The sequence below is a fragment of the Homo sapiens genome, chromosome 14 (genome assembly GCF_000001405.40).
Source record: "Homo sapiens chromosome 14, GRCh38.p14 Primary Assembly".
Classification (NCBI taxonomy): Eukaryota; Metazoa; Chordata; class Mammalia; order Primates; family Hominidae; genus Homo; species Homo sapiens.
The window spans coordinates 84,369,253-84,380,955 of record NC_000014.9 but is presented as its reverse complement, the minus strand read 5'-3'; positions in this window follow the sequence as shown (position 1 = coordinate 84,380,955).

Here is an 11,703-nt window from a genome sequence, read left to right as displayed (position 1 = left end):
ATTTTGTATAAAATCTATCTTTTCATGTCTATTAAACTCAATTTGTGGCCTAGAATCTGACTGTTCTTTGAAAATATTCCATGTGCACTTGAGAAGAATGTTTGTGCTGCTGTTGTTGGTTGGTAGAGTGTTCTGTATATATCTTTTAGATATAGTTGGCTTAATGTGTTGGTTGTGCCCTCTCTTTCCTTGCTTATCTCCTGTCTCGTTTTCCAATTCATTATTAGTAATGGGGTATTGGCATCTCTAACTATTATATAGGACTATTTCTCCTTCCAATTCTGTTAGTTTTTGGTTTATATATATACATATGCACATACATATATACACACATATATGTATTATATAAAATTATGTATGTATTATATAAAACATATGTGTGTGAATATATATACATGCATGTATCAAAATTATAAATGTATATACATATATAATTTTTTTTGAAACAAGATTTTGCTCTGTTGCCCAGGCTGGGGTGCAGTGGTGTGATAACTGCTCACTGCAACCTCTACCTCCCGGGCTCAAGAAGTCTGCCCATGTCAGCCTCCTGAGAAGCAGAGACTACAGGCAAGTGCCGCCACACCCGGCTAAGTTTTGTAGTTTTTGTAGAGATGGGGTTTTGCTATATTTCTCAGGCTGGTCTTGAACTTCTAGACTCAAGTGATCTGCCTGCCTCAGCCTCCCAAAGTGCTGGAATTACTGATGTGAGCCACCATGCCCAGCCTATATATTTTAATGGTCTGTCATTTGGTGCATAAATGTTTACAATTGTTATTATTGTATATTTTTACTGTATTGAACCTTTTATTAATATATAATGCCTTCATTGTCTCTTGGAAACTTATTTTAAAGTATAATTTGTCTCCTTTCTTTGACTATTTGTATGACATACATTTTTTCATCCTTTCACTTTCAATCTGTTTGCGTATTTCAATCTAAGTTGAGTGTCATATAGATACCACATAAATGGATCATATGTTTTTATCCATTCTGTCAATCTTTGTCTTTCGATTGGAATGCTTAATTTATTCTTATTTAAAGTAATTACTAGTGAGAAGTGACTTAGGTCTGTCACTTTATTATTTGTTTTCTACATGCTTTATAGCTTTTTTGTTCCTTATTTCCTGCATTACTGTTTTCTTTTGTGCTCAGCTGATTTCATTTAGTGAAATGTTTAAATTTATCTCTTAATTTATGTCAATACATTTATATCCATTTTCTATGTAGTTACCGTGGGAATTGCATTTAACATCCTCAAGTTGTGACACCCTAATTTACACCAGCATGACTTCAATAATATACAAAGACTCTGCTTTACACTTCCCTTCCTCTGCTTTCAGTTGTTAATGTCACAAAATTACATCTTTATATATTGTGTGCTCCAAAACGTAAACTAATAATTATTTTAAATGCATTAGTTTCTTCAATTGTGTAGACAATAAAAATGTAAAGTTATAAACCAGTTACAATAATACTAGCTTTTTAGACAAATCAGGTAGAAGAAAAGTAAAGGTACCAACTATTCTTACAATATTATTAGATTTTATAATTGCCATGCATTTACCTTTATTAAGATGTTTATTTCTTCATATGGCTTTAAGTTACTGTTTAGTGTTCTTTCATTTTATCTTGCAGGATTCCCTTTAGCATTTCTTGCAAAACAGGTCTGGTGGTAACAGATTTCCTTGAGCTTTTGTGTACCTGATGATATCTTAATTTCCCCTAAAAAATTCATCCAAAAATTATTATCTCAATTATTTTGTCGCTAATTTATATACCTCTTTTATTTTAGAATTGGTTTCTGTGGATTTATTTGGTTTCTATTATTGGGTTGCCCCTTGTTTCTTCGTGTTCCTTGTAACTTTGTGTTGATATCCATATATCAGAAAACATAGCCACCAATTTCTGTCTTTTCAAACTAGATTTACACAGGGAAGGTCTTCCAGCATGGCTAGAAATTTTTGGGTCCTCTCAAACCTTTTCTGTGTGTCCTTTCTGGCTTTGTGGGTATATATATATATATATATATATATATATATATATATATACCCCCACATATATATTCCTATATATATACACACACACATATATATTCCTAATTAATACATATATTAATTCCTAATTAATATATATATATATATAAATATATAGTCCTACTTAAAAGGGTTTGCATGTGTCTGTTTTCAGGAGTGTGTAATCTCTTGTTCCCTCTGGTGTCTGTCTGCTGAATCTCGGGTCCTTTTAAGAAGCAGCAGCAGTGGCTCGCACCTGTAATCCCAGCACTTTGGGAGGCTGAGGTGGGCAGATCACAAGGTCAGGAGTTTGAGACCAGCCTGGCCAACATGGTGAAACCCCGACTCTACTAAAACTACAAAATACAGCCAGGCATGGTGGCATGCACCTGTAATCCCAGCTACTCGGGAGGCTGAGGCAGGAGAATTGCTTGAACCCCGGAGGTGGAGTTTACAGTGAGCCAAGATTGCACCACTACACTCCAGCTCTGACAGACAGAGCAAGATTCCATCTCAAAGAAAAAAAAAAAAAAAGAAGCGGCAGCACACTACCCAGATCTGTTTTTGTTCTCAGTATCCCCCAGGCATCCTAGAATATGTCAGGTCATGTCAGTTATGCAAGACAGTAGAGACAGAAGCCAGTCTCATGGGCAACGTCCCCCCAAAGTCAGAATATTGAACATATGGTTCAGTCATCTCCTTCTCTTCTGAGGGACAAGCCAGAAACTGTGTTTCCTCCTGTTTAGGTGGTGATCTGCAAGGAAAGAACTATAGCGAAAGTGTGCCATGTATTTTTCCACTGGCTTTGATGCAGTTATTTTTGTGCTCATTTGAGGTGCAAGAGCCTCTTAACTGGTTTCTAGATTTCTCACAAAGGGAATTGATCCATGTATTATTGTTCAATTCGTATTTTCATGGGAGAAACAAGGTTTTGGGGCTTTCTTATCCTGCCATCTTGCTGACATCACCCTGATATCTGATATCTTTGATGTATAGTCCCAATTGTAACCGATGTGTTGACTAATAATAGCCAACTCTTCAGAGAAAAAAGTGTCTAAGATACCTAAATGGTCCATGGGATATCATTTATTCAACAATACTATACAGTCAGTTCTGCTGTTATGTTATATATGTATTCTGAGTGATCACTGTGCTGCACAAAATTACACTATGATATCCACAAGTCTAATGAAAAAAAACGGAGTAGGGCACAGCACTCAAAAACATCATCAGTGACCAGTTAAAAAATAAGAGCTTAATAAAAAAGACAGTAAGCACAAGTTAAATAATTAAGAAATACATTATTAGTATAATAAATATAGCATTTCACCTTGAGAAAGACCTGAAGTTTGCTTATAGAAGTGGATATGGAAAGAGTTACTTCTCATTGGCTAGTATAAACTGGTAGAAAGAGTGTTATCTGAAATCAAATGGAAATTTGTAACACCAGATGTGGATTAGTTTGGCTCATAACACATGGAGTGGAGTGAGGTAGCTGTTAGATGTTAGACTTGTGTGTATTTTGTGTATTTTTATGCAGCTGGGCTAAACTGAGTGCAGTTTTCTGTGTTCACCTAGTTTTCATCGTGGGTGGAATTGCACACAACTAATGTGAAATTTCTGTTATGCTCAAGTTGTTCCCTAATATGTCAAACGTGTCAGAACGAAATCTCTTTTCAAAACAAGCATTACAGTAAAACCACTGTATAATAATTTCATGAATTAGATTTTTGAAAAGTGAATGGCTTAAATATTTCATCATTGAATCACATTTCTGGTGTTCTGAGGAAGCCCCTGAACTGCCCTTGTAAAACATTCGTTAAGCACCCAGGCTTTGACACAGATGGATTTAAATTTGAATCCTAAGTTTACCTGCTTGATTTTCAGTAAACATCCTTTCCCTCCTTAAGCTATATTTTCTAATCTGTGAAATAAAGTTTAAAATTCTACCTCGTAGGTTAATATGATGATTAGAAAATAAAATGCATGCAAATTCCTCAGAGAATGACTTTTACATATAAAGTACTCAATAATGATAGTTGCTTTAAATTCTTGTATTCATAAAATATCCTGTTGTGCTATACATACATTGAGTTCATTTCCATTTGAATTATTATTATTCGAATATAAATCTCAGTGAATTTTTATAATGAATTATTTTAAAGCTCATATTTGTATATATTTTTTGTTCTTTAGAATTAAGCATGCCTGATTTCAGAATATATATAATATTTAGGTTTACCATATGTAAATGGATACACATGGGGTTTTAATTTTTTTTGCTGAAAATTTGCAGTTTTTGGTAGGTGGTTATTATAACATCAAATTTCTAAACTTTCTGTCTTTCATGTCATGGAGAGGAGTGAAAACACTTTATTCCCAGAAGTGGCTATAAAGTTAATTCTGAGTGTGCAACTTGAGGATCATTTAAATTATTTTGGATGTTTGCTGATCTCCATGTGTCTGCTGATGATCTCAGAAAACAGGGGGATCACACCTTTAGAATGTGACATTTATGGGGAGACATTTGTGTCTACTAGGTAGACAAGAAGGTTTAAAATATCGTTTCCTTTTTTTTCCAAGAGGTCAAATTCTTCTGAGAATTGCTCTGGTATGACAGAAAATATGATACCCGCTATAAGTAAAGAGGTAAATTTCTGACAAGTTTACATAATTGTTTAATTATTATCATATATATATATATATATATATATATATATATATATATATATATTCTTCTTTCCCTCCCTTCTTTCTTCTTTTCTTCCTTTTTTCCTTCACGAATTTTTGTTCTAGTCAAGTAAACTGCTAAGAGAGGGCAATGCCAAGGTGAAAACTTAGTCTCTGGACATGAGTCTTATTGTCTCATATAAGACACAAATATGTCAATAATTCATTATAATTATGTTTGGTAGAATAATACGACACAAAAGAGAGAATAAGTAACCTGGTTAGAACAGTTAAAAAAGGTTCCATTACTAGATATGTTTTCAAAGCTCATAAAAAAGACAGAGGAGTAAAAAATAATTACAGATTGAGGGGCTGTAATGCATATTGTGCTGGAAGAAGGAACAGTTGTTTCCTATTGCTGAGGGCCTTTGTGATGAGTAGTGGGATGAAGCTGGAGGGGGTGCAGAGCTATCTCTTGAAGGACTTCAGCAGAAGAGTTGGTGATGGTGCATCATGCTTTTAACATTGCAATGTATTCCCAGTAGATTGGGATACTGCAGTTTGGAAATTACATTAGTGCTTGGCAGAATTGTGTGGCAAACAACTGTTAGGAATATTTTATGTTTATTTCTTTGGAATAAAACAGTGAAAACTAAATTCTGAAAATGGGAGGAATCATGAGTTATTCAGTGGCTGGAATACTAACAAAAAAATAAATAAATAAAAAATAAAAAGCATGTTACCCCTGGAGAAAGTTAGGCCCATTGATAATATGACTCATCACAAAGGAATTTCCAAAGGACCTTAAAAGGAAGTGAAACTGAGTACCAAATCAAGACCCATTTGTATTAGCCACTCTGTTCTACTGAACAAACAAGAATTTCCTAAGCCACAAACTTGGATAAGTTTAGCATCCTTAAGATTGTCTGATACCCACACACTTTATTCTTTCTGTTCATGACCATTGTTAGATTGGTCCCTTAATTCATCTTGGTTTCCAACATGTCTGCCTCTTCTTCTCATTTTTTTCCTAAGCCCTTCTTCTCTGTCCATATTTAAATATTTAGAGACTCAACCAAGATAACCAAATAATAACAATAATCATTGATAATAAACCTTTACATGACCTTGCTGCTTACTTCATCTACCACGGAATTTCTGTCCTTTATTCTCTGCCATTCTTTTTCCCATGATTAATCTACACTCATTGCACGAAACTCCTATCTACCTAGGGCCTCTTTTAAACTGCTATCTACAGTCCAGGCCCATCATTCTTCTGAAACAGATCCTTCAGAGAACTCAAATGGCTTTCTTCTTGCTAATTCCACCTTCAGAGACCTCAAATGGCTTTCTTCTTGCTAATTCCAGAGACCTTTCTCCCCTTCATATTGTTAATCTCTGATGTGTTTCACATCACTTAAACATACTTCTTCCTTGACATCTCTAACATTACTATATATTGGATTTAATTCTTCCCCTCTGACCATTGTCTTGGCTTAAACATGGTCCCTTCTATACAATCCCTGCTTTATATATCAAAATCCATCCATTTCATATGTCCAAGTAGTTTCAATATACAATTGGCCCTCCTTATTAATGGGTTTGGCATCCACAGATTCGGCCAACTGCAGATCAAATATAGTCAGAAAAACATAAAATGGCTTTGTCTGTACTCAACATGTACATACTTTTTTCCTTATAATTATTCCTTAATATAGTATCACAATTATTTACAAAGGATTTACATTTTATTAGGTATTATATGTAATCTAGAGATGATATAAAGTTGTACAGAAGGATAAGGATGCGCATAGGTTAAATGCAAATACTATGCCATTTCATATAAGCAACTCGAGCATCTTCTAATTTGGGTATTCATGGGGTCCTTGAAACAATTTTCCCTAGATACCAAGGAACATTACAGTTATATTAATCCCAAAACTAGGATTATTAGATGAAATGTTGGTATTGCAGGATGATCCAGTATGTTATTTTGGGGGAAGATCTTTTTAAATAGATACGTTTTAGTGAAGCATTTGTAAATTTAACTAAAGAGTAACAGTTCATCTTCTCATAAATATCATACATACAAAATTCTTTATAGGGCTGTTATAGGTATTACATTATGAGTTAATGTTTGCAAAATGATAAAACCAATGCTTGATATGCAACTGGTTCATAAATTTTCAAGTGTTATTGAGTTTGGTTAATTAAATATATATATGAAACTTGGAATGATTCAAACATCTAGTCCTCCTTCACTTTTAATTAAAACTTTTTTTCTCACTTGTGGTGAAGTAGTATTGGAAAATTTCCCAAATTTTTTCTTTGTAATATTACATAACATTTCCAAATTTGGTTGCATTTTTTGGTGTGCAAGTTTTGCTGCTAACCAATATAACACTGGCTTCTTCCTAGTCGAAATAAAGGGGATAGGCAGTTATTTCACTAGGTGCTTTCCTAACCTGACACATGTTGTCATCTTTTTCTATGATAGTTTTTCACATTTTGAATCAAATTGCTTTATTCTTAATAGTTAATACTTGCTTACATCGTATTAATCAACCTTTGCACATGGTTTGCATCTGGAGTATATGATTCATGGCAATTAAAAGAAGATTGATTTTTCATATAATTGACTAAATTTATTTAAATATTGAGCATATTAATGCCAATGTAAAACTTAAAGTTGTTGGACAGTGCTGTGATTTCAGTATGGTTTGTTTCCTTGGGTAATCATATTAAAATTTAATTTCCATTGTGGCATTGTTGGGAAGTGGGATCCAGTGAAAGATGTTTGGGGGGTGTAGCCCTCGTAAATAAATTAATGCTGCCACTCAGGACTGAGTTCTCTCTCTGTAGGGAGTGGATTAGTTATCATGAGAGACAGGTTGTTATAAGGCAAGTTTCCTCCTGGTGTTCACTTTCTCTTTGCACACACCCACTCATGTTTCTGCTTCTTCACTATGTCCTGATGTAGCACAGGCCCCTCACCAGAAGTGAGCAGATGCCATTGCCATGCTCTTGGACTTTCCAGCCACCAAAATTATGAACCAAATAAACCTTTTTTCTATATAAGTTTTCCAGCTTCAGGTATTCTGTTATATCAATATAAAACAAACTAAGACAGATAGTGGTATCCTTTTTCTTTAAGGATATTAGAGTAATTGTGGTCAGTGCTCTTTATATACCAAGTGTTAAATTGTAGACCCAATTTTTATTTGTTTTTCGTAGCAATTTCTGAAATCTTTATTCTTCATCAAATTTTATCTTTTACATCTCATCACATTGGATTACAGATATACCTTGAAGATATTCTGGATTTAGTTCCAGACCACTACAGTAAAGTGAATATTGCAATAAAGTGAGTAACATGAATATTTTTGGTTTCCCAGTACATATAAGTATGTACTATGATGTTTATGTTTATACTATACTGTCATTTATTAACAGTGCAATATCATTATGTCTTAAAAATCTACATACTATAATTTAAAAATATTTTATTGCTAAAATATTCTAATGAAATGAGCAGATGTTGTTGGAAAAGGGGCTCTGACAGCCTTGTTTGATGCAGGGTTGCCATAAACCTTCAATTTGTGAAAAACATAGTATCTGTGAAGCATAACCAAGGGAAGCACAGTAAAATGAGGTATCCTTGTTTGTCTGTGTGTCATGTTGCTGACACTCTCTTCTTACATTTCCACCCTGGTTAGTTTATGCTGCCACTGTGGTAAACTCTGAGCATCACTCAAAAAAAGAATTTGGGAGTACTGAAAAAGTAGCTGATTCAATACAGAAAATATCAGGCTAGTGAGGATGCTAAACAACATACCCTTCAAAATAAAAATGAAGAAAACCAACGTTTTTTATTTTGGGAAAGAAAAACAGGGAAGTCCACAGTAGTAATATTCTCCATTTTTAACAATTTGCCATTTTGAGGAGAAAAATAACCATTTATTTAGTTTTATGTTGTTCCATAGTATAGAGATGCAAATAATGGAAAGCAAAGTATCCTCAACACACTACTAAAAGAAGAAAGAAATGCACTGCCTGAAGAAAATTGTAAGGTTTATTGGAATTGGAATAACAGTGACGTTGAACAAAAGGTTTATGAAGAGTTTCAGCAAATAATTTCCAAGTTTTATTTGAGAAGCCTAAGACATGATTACTTTTGAAGTGCTGCTTTCAGTGTATCATTATTTTTCTTGTAAGACTTTCAACTTAAGAATCTAATTGCTGATACAGTAGGCATCCAAATGATTTAAGATCTCTGAATTATGATCCCATGATAGCATCCATACCAGATATACAGCCTCTGATAGGTTTGAACCTTTTATCTTAATCGCATCTTGTGTATATGGTCTCCCCTCTGCTCTGAACAAATCTGTACGTGGAAATCAGTACCTTTTTGTGGTTTTCTTCAAAAATACCATCACACAATTTTCGTGAGTAGCAGACTTCATTGGAGAGATGGAGGCATTTTACAGCATTTTAAAACTGAATATTGGCATCGCTGTTTTTAAAAGTTTTGAAACTTGCCACTGTGAAATTTTAATGGCCAACTTATGCTGTAATTCACAAGCTTCCTGCCATGTGGTTCACTGCCTCCCTTTTATTTCTTTCATGGGGCTTATATTGAAACTTGATCAACTTCACTATATTATGCAAAGCAATTTATCTCTCTGATCCTTACTCAACTCAGGGGTGACTACACCCCCAAATCTCATTAATATGTAGTACTGAACACAGGCCTAGTACTCTAGGTCTCACCTTTTCCCAACGTAGCCTTTTAAATTTCATTCCTTCAAATCTCTTCCTTTTTCTAACACTCAATGTAATTGAAAGGAAACTGTATATTTCATGTGACATTATATAAATGGTGGCAGATATTTCACTTCCTTTTTCTCAAGAAACTGCTTATACATCTTAGGCGATTGACCTTTTTGGTATTTCTTAAAATATTTTGTATATTTGCTTATATACTTGTGTCCATCCTTGTCTGAAATGAATCAATATTGTATCTCTCCCAACTCTATTCAACTTCTAAGCTAGATCAAGTTACATGAAGTCATCCAAATCAGTCCAATCCACATTGATTTATCATCTTTTTTCCCTGAAAATTTGCAGCCTTATTATCCCATTTTTTTGAAAAGTTTCTTTTTTTTCCTGGATATTGATACTATGTCCTCAACTAAACTGTGAGCTCTTTCAGGACTGATAATAATTGCTGCGTTCATGTACATACATGTGAATATTCCCAAAATACTGATCGTATTGTTGCAAAGTAAATTTCTGGGACGGCCTAGCTTGAGTTGAGCCAAGTATTCCCTTGCCATTTTCTTTAATTAGGCTTAATTTTCAAAAGGCAGCTGCAAGAGGCATTTAAAATTTCCCAATGAAAATTGAAGTGTAGTTTTGTCAAAATGAGAGGTCGTTGATCCTAAGAGAAAAAATACTTTTATTTCAGTTCTATCTGAAACTGCTAATCTTTGGCAGTTGGAAGATTAGTATTTCTGATATTACATTTTCATTCTCACTGAACAGAAATGATATATGAACAAATTTTAGCAACACACTTTTCATCTTTGTCTTATATACGGAGGCATCAGTATGATTCATGATAATGAATTATTGGACTGTATGCCACCATTAATGCTTTTCTTTCTCATACCCATGCAGTTCAGAATATTTTGATTCGATTAACTCTACAAGCTCAAGATTCAAATATTTTTTTTTCTTCCTGACTCACATTTTAATAATTAAATTCTCATTTCTTTATAAAGTGTTAACCCTGTGAGTACTAGTACTGGGAAAGTAACAGTATTTGAGTGGGATTCAAGCTTTGACCTGGATTAGATTACCAATTTATGGAGAAGAAAGTCCACCTATAGATGAGATAAAAGCATAAACAGAACATAGAAAACACAGACATTGTGAAAAATTGGATAAGAAAAATAACTCACCTTTGCAAATAATTAAACATACGACCTTGGAGCTACATTATCTTCTTTCACAAAATGGAAAAAATATATAGGCTATACCCTCCAGGGTATAAATTTGAAAGTAACACCTGCATAACTTTTATTATAACAGCAGATACAAGAGAAATTCCCCATTGTGATAATTCTCCCATGCCTCTTTAATTGTTTTAAAAATTATCTCATGCTCTTAAGTATTATAATTTAATTACTGTCAATATTTAAGTTGTACTGAGAATTTAGAATATACTAGAATTGTGGTAAACCGAGGTAACAATCTTCATTAGATTGGTAAAGCAATGACTTTGTCTCTTCTATGATACTGTTTTCATAAGTTCATATTAAAATATGCATAAAACTACTGTTGGGTCATAGGATGAGAGGAGTAATCCAAAAGGATTTTCTAGGGCAGCTGAGCTTTTAAACAATATTCTTGGAAACTGTAAAACCAATGAGATTTAAGATCTCCCTAATAACGTTGTTTCTTAATGTGTTGTAGGTCTCAGATGAATGTGAACTATAAGCACCTGACCCTGTAAATGCAAGCTCTTTCCTGGAAAACCAAGATAAGTTAACTGTTCATGCTAATTCATTTTTCTGTATACATCCATTTAGACATGGTTTAAACTTTGGCTACAAGATACAGCTTTGGTGTTAAACAACCTCAGTTTATTTAAAAATATTTTAAAATTATCATATTGTGTTCTTTTGACTGAATCAGGTTAAATATTTATCATAGCACAATTAAGAGAGCGAAAATTTATATGAATTCTACTCTTTGGAACTTTTCACACTAAAGTAGGGAAGAATAAAAGGACTGGAGAATTACTTCTCAGCAAAATTATTCTCTAGATAACATCTTTTGTGTTGCCTTTAGACATAACATTTGAATTAGAGAAATTTCAGAATTATTAGCATTGATAAAATATGGAGCACCCCAAATTAGATGATCTTAAGGCTGAAGTTTTTCTAGATTGTAATAAGATTTATCTGTTCACTTTGAAGAACTGTCAGTCATTCTATAATTTCTTCTAATTGTT